A 21222-nucleotide genomic window follows, 5' to 3' on the forward strand; every position below is an offset into this window, starting at 1 on the left:
TTGGCACGCTCGGGAATTGCGCCACCGTGCGTCTCACAGGGACGCAAGAAAACTGCAGGCGGCCTCTGCACTCCGTGGACGGCAGTGTGTCCACAAAAAGTAGGCGACCCTAAGCTGTCACAGGCAGGGGGCGAGCTCCTCTAGTTGTCTTCAAAGTTCGTTTCGTCTTCGTAGGGCACGCGCCCACCCTGAATCCCGCCTTTCCTCTCGTGAAGCTCTGCCGGGACAAGGCTGACGTGGGACGACGTGGGACGCCGTGGGCCGCGAGCACGCCCCGGCACTACTGCGGCTAAGTTTGGCCTTTCCTGGTTGCCGTCCTCCCCTACAGGCTGTGCGCCGTAGCGGCTGTTATCCTTCTTTTCCGTCTCAGGAAAACAGCGTGCTTGGTGGGTTTGAGAGAACTTCTGTTTTTCTGTCCTCCATGTTTGAGGCGGAGAAAGAACATTTTGTTCTTGAGGTGATGATGGATTGAATGTAAAGTTACGCACAAAGTGGGATGTTTAGTTGGAACTGTTCCCTCAGGAAATACGATTTTTTGGGCGTGGGGGACAGGGTTTCGCTCTGTCGCCTAGGCCTGAGTGCAGTGGCGCAATAACGGCTCACTGCAGTCTGGAACTCCAAGGGATCTTCCCACCTCAGCCTCCGAGTAGCTGGAACTACAGGCGCGCGCGACCATGCTTGGCTTATTTTTATTTTGTAGAGAGGAGGTCTCACCATGTTGCCCAGCCTAGTCTGGAACTCCTGGGTTCAAGCGATCCTCCATCTCGGCCTCCCAAAGTGCCAGGATTACAGGCAACCGCACCGAGCCAGGAAGTGATTAATTTTTTTTTAAGTCACTTCACATTCCAGAAACATTAATCTCGACAACTCTAGGTTGCTGTAAGCAGCTTGTGACGGTGGCCCCCAGACTGCGTCCCGCTTTAGACTGCACCCAGTGAATCTCCACTCTAACCACCGCGGAGTGACCGGGTGTATTCTTCGCCTTGTATAGGGCACATTGGTTCAGTCTTGAAAGTAGAGAAGGGGAAGCCAGGGTAGTAAGGTGTGTTCTCAGCCCTGAACCCTGTCCAACTCCAGTCCTGCATGAAGTCTGTCCTCTTCCCCCCATCCGCATTTGTGACAACAGAGCTTCTTTTTATTTTATACTTCCATCTAAGAAAATTAGTCAACTTCTAGTCACATACCACATTTCCCCATTAAGAGGCTTTACTGAAAAGGTGGTAATTTTTTTTTAAAGTGACTTTTGCAGTCCCTTCTAAATCCTGCATGTACTAAATTTTGTACACACTGAATAATCAAAATCCAAAATATAAATTTAAAACATCCACGTGAATGCAAATAAGGAAAAACAGTTGGAGGTAGGGGGAAAGGAAGCAAACTTACCTGGATAAAATGAAGTTTCTTTCTTGTACACCATAATGAGAAAATGGTTGGACATGGATTTGCACTACTTTTTTGGGAAAAACCCACCTTAAAACAGGTTAAATGGCATGTATGAAATATACTTTGATAGAGGAAGTTTGAAGGGATGGTCATTCAGATTTTAAAGCACCTGAAATTGAGGTATAGGACGTTTCTGTGCCTGATGAAGATGGCCGTGGCTCACACATTTAGACAAAATAGGAACCCTGAAGTATTAACAGCAGGCACTCAGAAATGCACACTTTTTTTAAATTAGCCACTTCTCATGTAAGAAGGAAGTAGTATGTAGTATGTCCCAATGTGAATGGCCACAGGAATTTACATAAGATGACTAGTAATTTTCCAAGCAAAATTGGATTAAACAGTTTGTGGATAAGAAAGTGTGATGAGAAAGCCTAGAGGCCAAGGGACAGTACCTCTGTCCCTTAAATGGCAACATGCTGTAACCGCCCAAGGGGTTCACCTTGCGTGCTGCCTAGACAGAGCTGATTGATCAATACAAGTAAATTGCAATGGAGAAAGAGTAATTGACGCAGAGCCGGCTGTGCGGGAGACTAGTGTTTTATTATAACTCAAATCAGTCTTCCCTGAGCTTTTGGGGATCAGAGTTTTTGAGAATAATTTGGTGCGGGGAACCCAGTGAACTAGAGTGCTGATTGGTCAGGGATGAAATCATAGGGAGTAGAAGCTGTCTTCTTGCGCTGAGTGTTTCTGGTTTGGGGAGTCACAAAATCAGATGAGCCAGTTTATTGATCTGGGTGGTGCCAGCTGATCCCCTAAGTGCTGGGTCTGAAAAATAAGCACTGATCTTGGGAGCAGTTTAAGGAGGGGCAGAATCTTGTAGCCTCCAGCTGCATGACTCCTAAACCATAATTTCTAATATTGTGGCTAATGTTCTACAAAGGCAATCCAGTCTCTAGGCAAGAAGGAGGTCTGCTTTAGGTAAGGGCTATTACCGTCGTTGTTCGAACTATAAACTACAAACTAAGTTTCTCCGAAAGTTAGTTCAACCTACACTCAGGAATGAACAAGGACAGCTTGGAGGTTAGAAGCAAGATGGAGTCAGTTAATTTATATTTCTTTCACTGTCCCAGTCATAATTTTGCAAAGGCAGTTTCAGTGCTGACCAGGGTTGGCCCTCCTTTAAGTTTTTGTCCGCTCGGAGGGGAGACCATAATGAGAAAATGGTTGGACATGGATTTGCAGTTCACAGCCACCTGGGATAATCTGTCCCATCCTAGGCCTATACCTCATGGGAACACATGCGGACCCATGTAGGGTCCAAAAAAACGGACATGAAAGGAAGAGACAGAAAGCTTCACACTGTGTGCGAGTTGCTACCAAGGCATCTGGGCATGCTTAGCCTGGAGGAATATTCCCAGGACCGTGAAAAGTTGTAGCAGTACTTTTGGAGAAAGTAGAAAAACGATGTTTCCTCAAGGCCAAGGGTTCTCAAGCAGGAAAAGTTTTGCCCCCCTTGGGACAATTGGCAATGTCTGGAGACATTTATAAATGTCACAATTAGGGAGGGTACCAGTGGCATCTTGTGGGTAGAGGACAGATATACTACTAAACGTCATAGTGTAATGGTGGGGTGGCCAGCCCCCCCAACATTACAAAGGATTAACTATTTTAAAATATCAGCAGTGCCATGGTTGAGAAATTCTACTCTTGGCAGATATAGCCCTGAAACAGGATTTCAGCCCCCTCTCAGTCTCTTAGCTGGGTGCCCTTATGTAAGGCACAAAGTAAAAGCACTACTCCCCTGTATAGGCTACAGGAGGGAGTCAGTGAGGAAGTTACCCAGGTTTTGTGACAGGAGGACCCTTCAGTGAAAAAGGCTGCCAAGGAAATTGCTATGTGATGGAGACAATATACAAACCCATAATCATATTACAAATTGTGATAAGTGTTATGAGGATATATCAGTTCAGATCACCCAGGAAGCTGATGCCAAATTGGAATTAGGATTATTGGGAAATAGGTCCTGTGAAAGACTAAGGGGGAGGAAGAAGAACTGGACCTGGTAAATCTTCAGATCTTGATACAGATCTGACAGGAAAGACTGATGAAAGTGGAATTGGGTAGGTGCAGTCTAAGAATGCAGTAGAGATTTGACAAAGTCCTGGCTGACTCAATAGGAAGATTTGGGGTTGCCCATCAGAGAAGTCCTGTAGTGGGCAGGCATGGCCAGGCCCTGGTATCTGCCAGACTGGAGGCTGCCTGGGAAGAACATGGCCTTGGCACAAAGGCTTTAACAGATCTCACAGGCTTTGCAGCCAGAAGCTGTCAGCTAACTGCACTCCTCACAGCTCAATGACTTTTTTTTTTTTTTTAAGAAAAGATCAGAATTGCATGTTTCCATACCTCCCACAGAAGAATAATTAAAAGAGTGTAGCAGCAGGATTTTATTTTCAGGGGCTTTCCATTTTTTTTTTTTTTTGCAACCCACAGAAATATTGTACATTGTAACTTAATAAATACACAAAACTCAATTAAACAAAAAGCTTTAAAAGCATTACTTAACATTACTCTGCAGTGTGTGCTGTTATTTTCTGTTTCCTCTTTAAGAAAACTTCCTATGGTGTATGATTGTAATACAAAATGAACATTTTCATGTTTCAGCATGGTCAGGGCTTTTAATTAAAAAATTAAGGTAAAATTCACTTAAAATAACCATTTTAAAGTGTACAATTCAATGACATTTAATGCATTCACAATGTTCTGCAACCACCACCTGTAAAACATTTTTTATCATCCTAAAAGGAAATCTCATACCCCTTAAGCAGTCACTCTCTCTTCTCCCCTCCCCACAGTCCTAGGCAACCACCAATCTTCTTCCTGTCTCTATGAATTTACCTATTTGGATATTTCATATAAATGGAATCATACAATATTACAATATGGACCTTTTATGTATAGCTTCCTTCACAGTTTTTTTCTGAGGTTTATATATCAAACATTGTATGTTGTAGATTAGTACTATATTCCTTTTTGTGGCTAAACAGTATTCCATATTTTGTGTGTGTGTGTGTGTGTGTGTGTGTGTGTGTGTATACCACATTTTATTTATCTGTTCCTCCATTGACATTTGGGTTGTTTCCACCTAAATCTATACTACCTTAGTTTGGATTGATACCAACTTAGTTTCAACAGCATACAAAAACTCTGCCCCTAAACAGCTGAGTCCTCTCCTGTATGTTTCTATTATTACCGATTGCATCTATATACATTGTGTGTTCATTAACATAGATTTGTAATTATTTTATGCATTTGTCTTTTAAATCATATAAAAAAAGGGAACTACACACCAAAAACATAGCGATCCTGGCTTTTGTATTTACTGATGTAGTTATATTTATCTAACTTCCTGATTTCTTCTTAGAGCTTTTAGTTACCATCTAGTTTTCTTTCATTTAAGCCTGAAGAACTCCCTTTAGTATTTCTTATAGTATAGGTCTACTTGTGACAAACTCCTTCAGCTTTTATTTACGTGCTAATGTCTTAATTTCTCCATTGTTTTTGAAGGACACTTTGCTGAATATAGAATTCTTGGTAGATAGTCTTTTTCTTTCAGCACTTTGACTATGTTATCCCACTGCCTTCTTGCCTACATAGTTTCTGATGAGAAATCAGATGTTCTTATTATTGAGAATCACTTGTATGTGACAAATCTTTCCTCTCCCTACTTTTAAGATTTTTTTTTGTCTTTGTCTTTTGACAATTTGATTATAATGTGTCTCAGTGTGGAACTGTTTATATTTATCCTTCTTGGAGTTTGTTGAGATTCTTGGGTGCATAGGTTCCTGTCTTTTACCAAATCTGGGCAGCTTTTGGTTATTTCTTCAACATCTTTTTCCACTGTTTTATTTTTCTTCTCCTCTGGGACTCCTGTAATGTGTATGGTGGTACTCTTGATTATTCCCATAGATTTTTAAAGACTCCAATAATTATTCTTCATTTTTTTTCTTTTTTCTTTTTTGTTTTTTGAGACAGAGTCTGGTTCTGTCACCCAGGCTGACAGGCAGAATTATGACTCACTGCCTTATGAACTCCTGGGCTCAAGAGGCCTTTCCACCTCAGCCTCCCGAGTAGCTCAAACTACAGACACATACCACTATACCCAGCTAACTTTTTTTTTTTTAATTTTTGTAAAGACAGAGTCTTACTATGTTGCCCCAGCTGGTCTTGAACTCCTGGGCTCAAGTGATTCTACTGTCTCAGCCTCCCACAATGCTGAGATTACACGTGTGAGCCACCGCGCCTGGTCTTTCTTTTTTCTTTATACTCCTCAGTCTGGATAATTTTGATTGTAGTCAACAGTTGTAAGTTCACTCATTCTTTATTCTGCCTGCTCAAATCTGCTATTGCAACCCTCTAGTAAATTTTCATTTCAGTTATTGTATTTTTCAGCTTCACAGTTTCTACTTGGTTTCTTTTCATAATTTCTATCTTTGTTGATATTTTCTATTGTTAACACATCATTCTTCTGGTTTCCTTTAACTCTTTGTGGTTTCCTTTACCTCTCTGAGCATATTTAAGACAGTTGATTTTAAATTTTTGTCTAATATGTTCAGTGTTTGTGCTTCTTTAGGGAGAGCTTATATTAATTTCTTCTGTAAATAAACCATACTTTCTAGTTTCTTTGCATGCTTCATAATGTTTTTGCTGGAGACTGGACATTTGAATATTAAAATATGCTAACTCTGGACATCAGATTCTTCTCTCTTCTTAGGATTTGTTGTTGTTGTTATTGCTTCCTGTGAAATATAGTTGTTTGCTTGTTTAGTGACTTTTCTATATGATCTTTGTAAAGTCTGTATTCTTTGTCCTGTGTGGTCTCTGATGTCTCTATTCCTTTAGCTTGTGTTCAGGGGTGCTTTGATAGATATTTTCCTGATCACCAGGAGCTATCCTAGAATAGAATAAAGTAATAAAAGAAAAGAAAGAAACAACAACAACAACAACAACAACAAAAAACCCTCTTCCAACCTTTGAAGATTGGCTGTGTGTTAGAGCATGCTTTCAGTACTTAGCGAGGCCATTTATAACTCTGCCTAAGCCTTCACTCCCTGCTTGTGCTGAGCCCAAAGATAAGCCAGAAGTAAAAGCTTAGGGTCTTTTTAGATTGTTTTTGAACATGCATCCTGTCCTAGGCACGTGCATAGCTTCTAAATTCCTCAGTATATGGAGACACTTTTGAATAATTTCCCAGAGAAACTCTACCCAGCTTTTCCTTGCAGGCTTTCACTGCATCTATTATTTGCCTCAATTGTAATTCTTTGTCCTAGGTGGCAGCATGTTGTCCATTTGTCTTACAATGTTTTTGAGGAATGTCTTTTGTGTAGCTGTTTTTTTTTCATGCTGAATAGGTTTCAAGTTATGTAAAACAAAGTCAGGTGCCTTCTGTCATTCTTTCAAGTAGTACTCTCTGATGGTAAATTTTATGTGTCGATTTGACTGCATCATGGATTGCCAGATGTTTGGCTAAACATTTTTTTCTTAGTTTGTCTGTGAGGGTGTTTTTGGATGAGATTCATTTTTGGATTGGACTGAGTAAAGCAGATTGCTCTTCTCAGCATGGATGAGCCTCATCCAGTCTGTTGAAGGCCTTAATAAAATAAAAGGCTGAGTAAGAAAGAATTCTTTCTTTTGGCCAGAATATGTTTGAGCTAGGACTTTAGTCTTCTGCCTTTGGACTCATTCTTGGACTTGAACTTACAGCATTTGTTCTCCTGTTTCTCAGGCCTTCGTACTTGGTGATATGGTTTGGCTGTGTCCCCATCAAAATCTCATCTTGTATTGTCATTCTCATAATCCCCACATGTCATGGGAGGGACCTGATGGGAGGTAATTGAATCATGGGGGCGGTTACCCCCATGCTTGTTCTTGTGATAGTGAGTTCTCATGAGAGCCAATGGTTTTATAAGGGCTCTTCTCACTTTTGCTCAGCACTTCTCCTTGCCACTGCCATGTGAAGAAGGATGTGTTTGCTTCCCATTCCACCATGATTGTAAGTTTCCTGAGGCCTCTCCAGCCATGCTGACCTGTGAGTCAATTAAACCCCTTTCCTTTATAAATTACCCAGTTTTGGGTATATCTTTATTAGCATTGTGAGAACAGACTAATACACTTGGACTGGAACTATACCATTGACTCTCCTGGGTCACTAGTTTACTGATGCAGATCTTGGGTTTCTCAACCTTCAATACTTCAATGAGCCAATTCCTTGTAGTAAATCAATCTCTTTCTCTTTTTTTTATTCTCTCTCTCTTTCTCTCTCTCTCTCTCTCATTCCCTCTTTCCTGTTGGTTGTGTTTCTCTGGAGAATCCAGACTAATACACTGCCAAATAAGTTAGAACAGACAAACACAATTCTCTAAGCATAAGGTCTGTGCTCCCTCCACAACCAGGGACCAAGGTCCCACACTGGAAATGGGTGCTGTCTTCAAGACTGCTGCCAAAGGTGCTGAGATGCTGAAGAAAGCAAGCTGAAAAATCCCGTTCTTCAGAAAGAAACATTTAATAGGACTTATGAACAGAAGCAATGTCTTGGGTGGGCATGAGATGGTGGATCCCTCTACCTGCCCTCCAGAAAATATCCTTTGTAAAGCAAGCTTTTAGGGTAAAGATTTGTGTAGCTTGTCATGCTTCAGACTTTCTTGTGAAACGTGACTACTGGGGAGATTAGATAAGCATCTTTATTTATGCTACAGGGATTGTTTATTTATGAGACGTTTTCCATGTTACAGGCATTCTTAAAGACCTTGCTGCAGGAGTCATCATGGTCATCATGGTAGTTTCACTTCAAGGTGGCATCACTCTTGTCATGCAACAGGCTCTTTTCCTATGGGGGGGGTCAATAAGGGCAATCAAAAATGCTGCAAAGCTTTTGTACAAGAACATTTCCTCTTTTAAATTTTTTAATTGACAAATAGTTATTGTACATGTTCATGGGGTACATGGTGATGTTTTTATACATGTAATGCTTGGTGATCAGATCTGGTTAATTAGCATATCCATGATCTCAAACATTTATCTTCTTCTGGTGTTGGAAACATTCAGTGTCTTTTTTTTGCTGTTTGAAATTATATTTATTTTTTTTTCTTTTTTCTTTTTTCTTTTTGAGACAGGGTCTCTGTCGCCCAAGCTAGAGTGTGGTAGCACAATCTTGGCTCACTACAGTCTCTGCCTCCCAGGCTCAAAGGATCCTTCCATCTCAGCCTCAGGATTAGCTGGGACAACAGGCACATACCATCATGCCCAGGTAAATTTTGTATTTTTTGGTAGAGATGGGATTTCATCATGTTGCCTAGGCTGGTCTCTAATTTCCAGGCTCCAGCGATCCACCCTCCTCAGCCTCCCAGAGTGCTGGGATTACAAGTGTGAGCCACCATGTGTGGCCTGAAATTATATTCTTAGTAACTATTGTCATCCTACAGTGATATAGAAAACTAGAACTTCTTATTCTTATCTAGCTGTAATTTTATAACCTTTAACAAATCTCTCCTTATCCCTCCCTTCTCCCTATCATTCCCAGCCTCTAGTATCCTGTATTCTACTTTTTACTTCTATGAGATGAAATTTTTTAGCTTCCACATATAAGTGAGAACGTGTGATGTTTAATGTTTTGTTCCTGGCTTATTTTTCTTAACATAATGTCCTCCAGCTCCATCTATGTTGTTGCAAATGACAAGATTTCATTCTTTTTTTATAGTTTAATAGTATTCCATTTGTATATACCACATTTTCTTTATCCATTCATTTGTTGTTGAACCCCAGGTGGATTCTAAATCTTGGCTATTGTGAATAATGCTGTAACAAACATGCAAGTACAGTTGTCTCTTAGATATACTAATTTCCTTTCATTTGGATAAATGCCCAATAGTGGGACTGCTGGATTATATGGTACTTCTGTTTGTAGTTGTTTTAGGAACCTCCATCGTATTTTCAATAGTGGCTCTACTGGTTTACATTTCCACAAACAGTGTTTTAAGAGTTCCCTTTCCTCCACATCCATGCCAGAATCTGCTTTTTTTTGTCTTTTTGATGATAGCCGTTCTAACTGGGGTGAAATAAAACCTCATTGTGCTTTTTATTTGCATTTCCCTGATGATTAGTGATGTTGGGCATTTTGTCATGTGTTTCTTGGCGCGCTCTCTCTCTCTCTCTCTCTCTCTCTCTCTTTCTCTCTCACTCTTGCTCTTGCTCTGTTGCCCAGGCTGGAGTGCAGTTGCACAATCTCAGCACACTGCAGCCTCCACCTCCCAGGTTCAAACAATTATCCTGCCTCAGCCTCCCAAGTGGCTGGGACTACAGGTGAGTGTCACTATGCTCGGCTAATTTTTGTATTTTTTCCTAGAAGAGACTGGGTTTCACCATGTTGGCCAGGCTGGTTTTGAACTCCTGGCTTCAAGTGATCCACCTGCCTTGGCCTCCCAAAGTGCTGGATTACAGGTGTGAGCCACCGTGCCCAGCCTGCCATTTTTATATATCTTTTAAGAAATGTCTGTTCAGATCATTTACTCATTTGAAAATCAGATTGTATTTTTGTGCTATTGAGGTGTTTGAGTTCCTTGTATATTCTGGATATTAATCACTTGTCACATGAGTTATTTGCAAATATTTTCTCTCATTTTCTGGTTTGTCTTTTCATTCTGTTGATTGCTTTTTAGTTATATATAATCTCATGTATTTATTTTTGCTTTTATTGCCTGTACTTTTGAGGGCTTATAAAATTTTCCCAGACCAATATTCTGAAGCAGTTCACCTATGTTTTCTTCTAGTAGTTTTATATTTTCAGGTCTTCCATTTATGTATTTGATCCATTTTGAGTAGATTTTTGTATAGGGTGAGAGATGAAGTCTAGTTTTATTCTTCTGCATATGGAGATGCAGTTTTCCCAAGACCATATATTGAAGAGACCATCCTTTCTCCCAATGAGTGTTCTTGGCATCTGTGTCAAAGATTAGTTGATTGTAGATTGTAGATATGTGAATTAATTTCTGGGTTCTCTATTCTGTTCCATTGGTCTATGTGTCTGTTTTTATGCCAGTACCATGCTGTTTTGGTTATTACAGCTTTGTAGTATATTTTACAGTCTGGTAGTGTGAAACCTCCAACTTTGTGCTCAGGATTGCTTTGTTTTTTGTGGTTCTATACAAATTTTAGGATTTTTTTTCTATTTCTGTGAAGAATGTCATTGATATTTTGATGGAATCTGCAGATTGCTTTAGATAGTAAGTTGCTCCTTTTTTTTTTTTTTTTTTTTTGAGACACAGTCTCACTCTGTCACCCAGGCTGGAGTGCGTTGGCACAATCATGGATCACTGCAGCCTTGACCTCGCAGTATAAGTTAACCCCCCGACCTCAGCTTCCTAAGTAACTGGGATGATAGACATGTGCCACAGTGCCTGGCTAGTTTTTGTATTTTATTTTGGTAGAGACAGAGTTTTGCCATGTTGTCCGGGCTGGTCTGGAACTCCCAGCCTCAAGTGGTCTGCCCACTTTCTTGGTTCAGCATTTTCTTGGTTGCTGTAGACCTTTGGCTATTCTCCAGAGCTATCTTGACTCACTACAACCTCCGCCTCCTGGGTTCAAGTGATTCTCGTGCTTCAGCCACTCAAGTAGCTGGTACTACAGGTGTGCACCACCATGCCCAGCTAATTTTTGTATTTTTAGTAGAGACAGGGTTTTGCCATGTTGCCCAGGCTGGTCTCAGACTTCTGGCCTCAAGTCTCCCCCACCTTGGCCTTACAAAGTGCTGGAATTGCAGGCATGAACCACCATGCCCAGCCCTAATCATTTTTTTTTTTATCTCTAATATTGCCATTTAAAGAAAGTTGTATAAGCAAAATCATTATACCTGTAACCTTTTGAGATTGGCGCTTTTTCCCCCCACTTAGTATAATGCCCTTGTATCCAAGTTGTGTGTATCAATAGTTTTGATAGTTTCCTTTTATTGACAGATATACCCACAATTTGTTTAACCATTCATCTATTGATGGGCATTTTGATTATTTCCAGTTTTTTTTTTGCTATTACAAATATAACTGTTATGAAAAATCATAAGATTTTATGTGGACTTAAGTTTCACTTCTCTGGGATAAATGCCCAGGATGGCAATTTCTGGGTAACGTGAGAAGTATTTAGTGTTTTAAAAAAACTGTTAAATTATTTTCCAGAGTGGCTGTACCATTTTGCATTCCTACCAGCAGCAGTATGTGAGTGATCCAGGTTGTTCACATTCTCACCAACATTTGAGTTTTAGAATGATCACTTTGACAGTGTGTGGAGAATTGATTAGAAGTGGATGGCATTCTAGATGAGAATTCTGTCTCAGAAATTTTTGTAGTTGTTATGGTGAGACATGATGAGGGCCTAACCCAAACTCTGAAAGTGGGGATGGGCAGATTGGAGAGAAGTTAAGGGAATGAGTTGACGGAATTAAATGATCAATTTGATGTAGGACTTGGAAGAGAGAAATTTTTAAAGAAAGCCTTCTTGTTTCTGATTTGGGCATTTTGGTGGATAATGGTACCATTTAGAGAAGTAGATAATACTGGAAGAAGGGTTTGTCGGGGGTTGAGAAGATATGTTTAGTTTTAGGCTTGATCATTTTGAATTTACTTTGTAATCCAAGAGGGACCGACCAGTAGGCAGCATGCTACATAGGTCTGAAAATAGCGTAGTCATTAAGGGAATGGATTTTAGAGTCATTTGAGACGGAGTCATTAAGGGATTCCAAATCTGAGTTCTTTCTCTTACTCTCTGTATATCTATTGGCTAGTTACTTTACCTCCATTTTCTCATTAAATGAGATGGAATCATTGTGAGGCTTAAATAAGGCAACATGTATAAAACACTTAGCACATGTTAGGTACTTAGTATATGGTAGTTGTTGTTATTATTATTACAGATATGCAATTTAGAAACATTATTTTTTCTCTAATGTCAAATGCTACCCAAAAGGCAAATGTAATAAAGGTTAAAGTATACTCTTTGGATTTAGCAATCATGGGGCCTTGGGGACAACAGGTTTGTAGGGCAGAAGCTTGGTTATGGTATCAGAGTATAATCAAGAGGTGAGTGCCTGGAGACAAACACAAAGATATTTGTTCCCCAAGAAATACGTAAAAGGAAGGAGAGAGAAAGAGGTTAGACCAGCTGGGACTAAGGAAATATTTGTGCTGAGATTATTTTTTTTCTTTGAGCAAAGATTAATGAATTGTTAGCCTTTTTTTTTTTTTTTTTTTTTTTTTTTTGAGACAGAGTCTCGCTCTGTTGCCTAGGCTAGAGTGCAGTGGCATGGTCTCAGCTCACTGCAACCTCCGCCTCCTGGGTTCAAGTGATTCTTCTGCCTTAGCCTCCTGCGTAGCTGGGATTACAGGTGCCTGCCACCACACCAGGCTAATTTTTCGTATTTTTAGTAGAGACGGGGTTTCACCACGTTGGTCAGGCTGGTCTCGAACGCCTGACCTAGTGATCCGTCTGCCTCAGCCTCCCAAAGTGCTGGGATTACAGGAGTGAGCCACTGTGCTCGGCCAGCCTTTACAAATGGAGGGAGATTTCTTTTAGAATGACTAGCTGGGAGGAACTATTGGTAGAGATGCACATGAGTTTTGTTTGTTTGTTTATTTGTTTGAGATGGAGTCTCACTCTGTCACCAGGGCTAGAGTGCAGTGGCACGATCTCAGCTCACTGCAACCTCCACCTCCCAGGTTCCAGTGATTATCCTGCCTCAGTCTCCTGATTAGCTGGGATTATAGGCACCTGCCACTGTGCCTGGCTAATTTCTTATATTTTTAGTAGAAACGGGTTTCATCATTTTGGCCAGGCTGGTCTCAAACTCCTGACCTCGTGATTCGCCCTCCTTGGCCTCCCAAAGTGCTGGGATTACAGGCTTGAGCCACTGCGCCCGGCCTACACATGAGTTTTTTAGGTAAGGATCGTCTTCATGTTAAACTCTTCTCCATGGCCTATATTTTTGTCACTGATGTAAGGAAGAGAGATCATTGGCTAAAATTAAGTTAGCAGATATTGAAATGTTTAATCCTCACAATGATTGCTTGGTGAAAAGAGTATTTAAATTTTGGAACAGCTGTTGTTAGAAAATGGGAGAGAACTGTCTTGAGAGAAACAGAAAGATTGCTATAGTATATTGAGAATCGAGCTAAAGTTGGAGTTGGGATTTGTAGTTGCACCAGTTTACAGGATTGATTGTTTTTATTTCTAATAAATTTTGTAAGGGAAAATATTAATCCAGGCCTAGAGTTATTTTGGAATGGATATAGCAGAATGAAAAGAATACAGAGGAGTTATAAAAATATAGTTAGGTGAGTGGTTCAAATGATAGACTTTTTAAAAAAATTTTTGGATGAATGGTAATAAAAATAAAGGCAAGAGAAGGCTATTAGGAATATTATTACAGAAGGATCAAGAGACAAGAGGTCTTGAGGGGCTTGAAGACAGTAATAATTAATCAAATAGAACTGGAAGGTTTAGAGATAGCCATGTGACATATTAGAGTATAAATGATTCAGAGATATGGCCCATTCCTAGACAGCTTGAAAGTTGATGAAATAGTTATTTATAGTTCAATTACATGTGAGCTGAGGTTGGGGTGATATGGGAGGCCTGGTGGTATTAATAGTAACTATGTCTGTAATGCCTATTATAACTAGTATTTTGGTTACAACTAAAAGTGAAGTGGGCTGGGGAGGTGGGGGCATCTATGATTTATATCATGTGACTTTATAAAGTGTATTGTGTTTTCCCATTTAAGTTCATACTAATAGGTACAAAAGGCATACTGAAGCTAGCTTGAATTCAAAGAAATGGAATTCTTTTATTAAAGAGTCTCAAATTATTAGGAGATACATAGGAGATGGCTTGATTTTCCCAGTTCCTACTTTTGAGTGTGGTATGTCAAATCTCTCTCTCTCTCTCTAAGTAGTGGCTACTTTGAAAATATATTGGCCTACTCTGCCCCTGCAGATTCCTGCCTCTCAAAGAAATCTCAATATTATATCCCCTTCCCAATCTTGGGGGAAATACTGTAAGTCTCTCTCTACTCCTGCTGCTTCCATCTCCTCTCCATGCTGAGATGACTCCTAGGACATATAATTTTGGGGAAGAAGGAATGAGATGCTAACACTGACATGGTTTTTTTCTTGCTAACTCATCTAGCTTCACAGTGAGTGACTCAACTGCAGTGTTTGTGGGGGTATTTATTATAGGCCAAGAGGGCAGAATGCCCATGTCTAATCTAATATTTGACCTGGGGATAATATCTGGGCCTCTTCAACAACCACCTGGGGTGAGGCCTGAGGTCATGCCTGGTGATACATAAACCTGCTAGTGTTTTTGTTCTTGTTTCTGATTGTTATGCCAATTGACCTAACTTCTGGATCACCTTTCATACTTTGTAGTTTTATTTTTTTTATTTTTGAGACAGAGTCTCACTCTTACCCAGGCTGGAGTGCAGTGGCATGATCTCAGGTCATTGGAACTTCTGCCTCCCGGGTTCAAGTGATTCTCCTGCCTGAGCCTCCCGAGTAGCTGGGATTACAGGTGCCCTCCACCACACCTGGCTAATTTTTTTTTTTTTGTATTTTTAGTAGAGACAGGGTTTCACCATGTTGGCCAGGCTGGTCTCGAACTCCTCACCTCAAGTGATCTGCCTGCCTCAGCCTCCCAAAGTGCTGGGGTTACAGGTGTGAGCCACCGCACTGGCCAACCTTGTGGTTTATGTTGAAGTTGTCTGCTTATGTGACACCTGCTATCCCACAGCCCTTGATGTCCAATTTAAACAGGCACCTGCTTGACTCTCTAGTCAGCTCATCACGTGCCATATTACCAGCTCCTAGAGCATACTGTATAGTCTGTATAATTTGTTTTAGAATATTCTAAATGTCTCTTTTCAGTAATTTTTTTTTTTTTTTTTTGCCAGTGAACAGCCCTTCCTTGCTAACAAAAACAAACAGTTAAGCGATGGCTTTGATGCACTGAGGTAGGTTCTGACTAGGGCTCTCCTGCAGCTTAGCTCTGATGCCATCTTGTGGTCAAATGGGTATCTACACAGGGAGCCTTTTATTCTGGTTTTGGCTGTTGCCCACTACCATGCTAAGATCAAAGGCAGATTTGCTCTGTTTTTGTTTGTTTGTTTGTTTACGTTTTTCTTTTGCTGTGGATTTGTATTTTGTTTCCCTCATTGGGGGAGGGGAAAACTCAGAGTTCAATGCCCTCTACACTGACCAGTGGGTTGAAGGGAAGCTCTTTCCTTGCACCTCAGGGACAATTTCACCCACATTTCCCACAGCTATTTCCAGCTCAGCATTTTCAGAATAGAACTCTTTATCATTGTTCCCGCCTCACCCCCTTCCTTCCGCCAGTGAATCTCATTCTTAAATTCTGTCATCTTCTACACTTTATCTCAGTGAAAGGCTGTTTATCCATTGCTAAGTAAGAGGCCCAAGAGCCAATCGGGACTGTTTCCCCCCTATTCCCTCATTCACCTATTCTGCCTCCCAATAGCTGCTAATTTTTTGTCCATTTCCTCCATTCCTTCACCACAGTCTGAATCATGGCCTTCAATATTTCTCACTGAAACCATTGCAGTTGTTTGTCTCTGTCATGTCTTTATGTCTTCCATCTTCTAGCCTTGCCTACATTTTCCTTCATTTTTATTCCAGCATTGATTGAAACTGAAACTTGAAATCCTTCAGTGCCTCTGCAGAGCCTACGGTGTAAACTCCAAGATCCTTGATATGAGTTACAAGATGCTCTTTTGAGTTGGCATTTGTCTCTTCTGGGCCTACTCTCCATTCACTCCCCACCTCACATGTAACACCTAGTAGCACTTAGTTCCTGGAACACAATTAACTGCTTCATGCCTATGGGCATTTGTTCATGCTTTTCCCTTTTGATTAGAAATAAACCTCTGTAGGCCTTTCTCTTGGGCTTGTTCAGGTGGTCCAGTAGAAGCATCCTGCAAAATTGCCAGAGGGTATGTGACTTTGTGGGCCTATAAGAAACAGATGGATCTGGCCGGGCACAGTGGCTCACGCCTGTAATCCCAGCACTTTGGGAGACTGAGGTGGGCAGATCACCTGAGGTCAGGAGTTCAAGATCAGCCTGGGCAAAACGGTGAAACCCCATCTCTACTAAAAATACAAAATTAGCTGGGCGTGGTGGCATATGCCTGTAATCCCAGCTACTCGGGAGGCTGAGGCAGGAGAATTGCTTGAACCTGGGAGGCACAGGATGTGGTGAGCCGAGATCATGCCATTGCACTCCAGCCTGGACAACGAGCAAATCTCCATCTCAAAAAAAAAAAAAAAAGAAAAAAGAAAAAAAGAAACAGATGGATCACTCAAAGGGGAAATTGCAAAGAGCAATGAAAGGATTCCTTGAAAAGAGTTTAATGAGGGAAACATTACTAAACCTTCACAAACAGGAACAATCAAGAGGTGGTAAACACTCCAGGACTAAAAACAGCTGAAAGCCATTACCTCTCCTAGGCCTAACAGTATACTGGAACTTGGAATGATCTGTAGTTGTGTGTGAGAGGGCGTCCAACAGTTGCTGTATCTGAAAGTAGAGAAGTGCAGTCACTGCCAAAAATTGCAAGGGAAGGGGAGAAAGAGAATAAAAGCTCAACCCATCTCTCCTTTTACCCTGCAATCTTATGCTGGTGGCTCTCATTGGCTGAGTCCAAATGCAAGCCAGAGGCTAAGGGAGCCTAGCTGATACAGTCCACAGAAGTCAATTTCTCAGAGCCAGGGAGAGAATGGCAGAGAAAGGACCAGGAGAGGCAAACAGAGTATAAATCTGTTAACTGGTGTTCTGTGAGACAAACTGGGGAAGAGGGTTAGGGGTGTCACCTTTTAGTATAAAGACTTTCAATTAATCACCTCTTAATTAATCAGCTGCAAAAGGTGTCCCCAAATTTTGGGCTAAGGAAAGAGGACTGAGAAATGATTTTTTTTTTTTTAAATACAGACTTTCAACCATTTCTTCTGTTTTAAGCTCAACTCTACACTTTGCCTTCAGATGTATCTGGAGCCTCCAATTCCTGAAACTTTCTGGGATTTGCAAAACAAATCAGCTTATTTATTAGCTTACTTGCTCCTAAAAGTGAGATCTATGATATCTCTTTTCGATTAGGTCAGTTTTCACAAAAATATTTCATTAGAGACACATTTACTATCATGGTCAGGAAACAAATATACGCTCTGCTTTAGAGGGAGACTCAACTTTTTATCTTCTAAGATTGTTTTCCATACAAACATCCTTGAAAAGATAGTCTGGAACAAAAGCTGTCAGTGCCTCTTCATGAGACATACAGAAACACAAAAGATCACTGGAGAATTGTCTCTCAACATTATGGAGGAGAGACACAGTCAACTCATGGACTGGCCCTTTTTAAAAAGAAGAATAGCATTCTAAATTTCTAGTTGATGGAGATACCATATCCCTGACTTCAGAAACAGATAGTGAAGTATGCATTATTTTCTAACTCCTTTTCAGGCAATCTGTGTTTCATGAAGCAGAGTGTAAGTGCTTTTCACAGAAAAATTCCATCTGTCTTATACTAAGTATTGTTTATCCCAGATCCAGCATTGAAATATCTATTAGTCTTAGTTTTTGGTCTTGATGTGAGTTTTCACCTTTTTTAGTGGCTTCAAGGGTGTTTAATGCAATGTTGGGAAAAGGTACATAGAAAGAATGTGTAAAGGTTAGCAAAACCCTTTCTCTTTCTGTGTGGACAAAATTTACCTTGGATTAACTTTCTAATTATATTTCCCTAGAAACCTGTAAATGGCAGAATGTGAACTGTGTAACTAGCAATGTTGTTTATAGTAAAAATAATCCTGATTGATAAATTTACCTTGACTAGTTGTGAAGAACTACAAATTCCTGGTGTGAAGCCAAAACTTTGGGCTTTCCTAAATAACTCAATGTCTTTTGTGGGGACCAGGAAGTTATGCCCATGAATGTTGGTTCTTATCTGGAATATGGAGCATCTTATCCAAGATGATGATTGCACATGCCCATAAAGATCTCATTCTCTTCCACTTGAGCTATTATATGGGAGTGGTCAATGAAGACAAGCCTCTGGACTTGTGGATTGCTTTGAGAACCTATATAGTGAGACCTATTCACCTATTCTAGTCTTGTGATTCCAAATGTCTAGATAGACTCAGGGATGAGCAACAGGAGCAACGCTGAACATTAAAAAAAAATTTTTTTTTAAAGCAGTTTTAGGTTCACAGCAAAATTGAGAGGAAAGTACAGAGATTACCCATATGCCCCCTGTCCCCACACATGCATAGTGTCTCCCATTATCAGCATCCCCCACTGGGGGTGCTGATATGCTAAAGTCTGATATGCTGAAGTCTGCAGGTGGTGACATGCTGAAGTCGGCTGTTAGAGTACATGGTCCAAGCTATTTGGAGGTGTCGAAGTATCCCCACATCATGGCTTCTTCTTTTTTTTTTTTTTTTAAATCCCAAGTCTCTTACACTTCTGTATCCATTCCATGGGACATAGGTGGATCCTGTGCATTTTGAAAAGGACTGGCCATAGGGAAGAGGTGTGTTCCAGGGGTGTTGTTCCAAGCTTATTTATCCACAGCCGCCTGCAGTTGCTATTGCATCATTTTTTTGGTGCCATTTTGGAAGTAGTCATATGCAGGACTTTTTTGGGGGCATATGAATAGAAATGTATCTCAACATATTTTTTTTTGGACTTCCGTGTATTTTCTTTTATGAATATAAAAACATTCTAAGAATGGATCTATATGTTTTTATCAGACTTCCAAAGGTGGTCCATGGCGCAAAAAAAAAAAAAATGTGAGAATTCTTGTTTTCAGCCTTCTTCTAATATATGTTAGTCTCAATATTCTTGAGTTTCCCATACCTATCTGGATGTTTCTAAACTCACTCAAGGTTTGAACAGAAGTACGGGGGCATAGGGAGAGAGAGAGATGAGAATCCAAGTAACTGACTTCTTGGCTTTAGCTTTTTCTTCTTTTTTTTTCTTTTATAACACTTTAACCTGGAAGGGATTGACTTTCTGCTTCTGTGTTAGCAATTCTTAACCCACTTGGTTTCATGACTCCTTTATACTCATAAAAATTTTCGAGGACCCTAAATAAATTTGATTTGTTTGGGTTATAGTTATCAATATTTACCATATAAGAAATTAAAGCAGAAATTTTAATAATATTATAATACATACCATATTTTATGAAATATAACTATATTTTTCAAAATATAACACCATTGATGAAAAAAATGGCATTATTTTATATTTTTGCAATTCCCTTTAATGTCTGGCTAAGTAGAAGATAGCTTAAATAGTAACTCATATTTGCTTCTGTATTCAGTTAGTTGGAATTTCATATATAATGTAGCCCCTGGAAAACTCCACTGTCTACTCATGACAGCGTGAGCGTGAAAAAAGCACAAAATGTTTTAGTACATTATGAAAATAGTTTTGACCTCACAGATCTCCTGAAAAGGTCTTGAGGATCCTCAGGAGGTCTCTAGGCCACACTTTGAGAACTGCTATTTTGTGCCTTATATAGCAAGCCTCAGGGCCTAGCCATTTTAGTCAAAAGGAGTGCATCCTGCATGCTCTCTCTGCCCTATGGTCTAAGTCCTCTAGACTTTTTCCTGACATGTTCTTGGAAGTAAATCAATTTAGAAAATACTAAGCCTAGCTTTCAAGACTTGCTTTAAGATCCTATTTTGACTCCCTGAAGGTGGATATGAACTTTTCCTTTCATTTGCATAACTGCTATAATACACTTAAATGTTCTCAAGGCACATGGATATCCCTGGCAGAATATGGAGTGATTTACCACAAAGAAATGCAAAAAGTGGAAAGTAGAAAAATGAAAGTTCCTGTTATTTTGTTATAGTAAAGCAATCTAGCTTGTTTTGCTTGTTTTGTTTCAAATTTGTTTTTCTGGGCTCACCTGGACCTCCCACTCCTTTTTAATTTTTAAAATTAAGTTACTAATTAATATTTATTTATTTATTTTGAGATGGAGTCTTGCTCTGTTGCCCAGGCTGGAGTGCAGTGGTAGGATCTCAGCTCACTGCAAACTCTGTCTCCCGGGTTTAAGTGATTCTCCTGCCTCAGCCTCCCAAGTAGCTGGGATTAGAGGTGCATGCCACCACGCCCAGCTAATTTTTGTATTTTCACTAGAGACAGGGTTTCACCATGTTGGCCAGGCTGGTCTCAAACTCCTGACCTCAGATGATCCACCTGCCTTGGCTTCCCAGAGTGCTGGGATTATAGGTGTGAGCCACCGTGCCAGACCCCTTTTTAAATTTTAAAATAATTTCAAGCTTATAGAAAAGTTGCAAGTATAGTAGAAGACCCTTAAAAAAAACAACAACTATTTGAATGGGTCATTCCTTAAATACTTTACTGTATATTTCCTACAAATGAGGACATTCTCCTTTTACTGCAAAATAACCATGAAAATCAGGAAATTTACATTGATGCATTAACTGCCTCCAGTCTCCAGATCCGAATCAAATTTTGCCAATTGTCTCAATAATACCATTTATAGCAAAAAATCTGGTTCAAAATCATGTGGTATATGTAGCTGTCATATCTCTTTTTTAGATTTTTCTTGACTTTCATGGCCTGGACACTTTTTAAAAAAAGTATGAAACACTTCACAAATTCGTATGTCATCCTTGTTCAGGGGCCATGCTAATCTTCTCTGTATTGTTCCAGTTTTAGTATATATGCTGCCATTTGTGCTGCCAAGGTGAGCAC

General features: G+C 40.1%; 1 long non-coding RNA gene and 1 pseudogene across 1 annotated transcript, besides 5 other annotated features; one reads left to right on the forward strand and one right to left on the reverse strand.

The window, feature by feature from the left end:
- Positions 36 to 16454, forward strand: LOC107984674 (uncharacterized). Its single transcript, XR_001750746.2, has 4 exons — positions 36 to 386; positions 8556 to 8689; positions 15374 to 15433; positions 16116 to 16454. It is a non-coding gene; the product is annotated as an uncharacterized LOC107984674 (long non-coding RNA).
- Positions 76 to 255: an enhancer, noted in NCBI's record as "active region_8304". NCBI's record gives its function as "activates an Ori minimal core promoter by ATAC-STARR-seq in GM12878 lymphoblastoid cells {active_cell/tissue: GM12878}" and the evidence as "EXISTENCE:reporter gene assay evidence [ECO:0000049][PMID:35858748]".
- Positions 76 to 1114: a biological region, named in NCBI's record as "H3K27ac-H3K4me1 hESC enhancer GRCh37_chr14:45722623-45723572".
- Positions 165 to 1114: an enhancer, noted in NCBI's record as "H3K27ac-H3K4me1 hESC enhancer chr14:45722623-45723572 (GRCh37/hg19 assembly coordinates)". NCBI's record gives its function as "activates a minimal SCP1, AML or CMV promoter by ChIP-STARR-seq in naive H9 embryonic stem cells {active_cell/tissue: H9 hESC(naive)}" and the evidence as "EXISTENCE:reporter gene assay evidence [ECO:0000049][PMID:30033119]".
- Positions 276 to 465: an enhancer, noted in NCBI's record as "active region_8305". NCBI's record gives its function as "activates an Ori minimal core promoter by ATAC-STARR-seq in GM12878 lymphoblastoid cells {active_cell/tissue: GM12878}" and the evidence as "EXISTENCE:reporter gene assay evidence [ECO:0000049][PMID:35858748]".
- Positions 536 to 595: an enhancer, noted in NCBI's record as "active region_8306". NCBI's record gives its function as "activates an Ori minimal core promoter by ATAC-STARR-seq in GM12878 lymphoblastoid cells {active_cell/tissue: GM12878}" and the evidence as "EXISTENCE:reporter gene assay evidence [ECO:0000049][PMID:35858748]".
- On the reverse strand, positions 21104 to 21222 carry RNU6-552P (RNA, U6 small nuclear 552, pseudogene; annotated as a pseudogene).

The sequence above is a fragment of the Homo sapiens genome, chromosome 14 (genome assembly GCF_000001405.40).
Source record: "Homo sapiens chromosome 14, GRCh38.p14 Primary Assembly".
In the NCBI taxonomy this organism is placed as follows: Eukaryota; Metazoa; Chordata; class Mammalia; order Primates; family Hominidae; genus Homo; species Homo sapiens.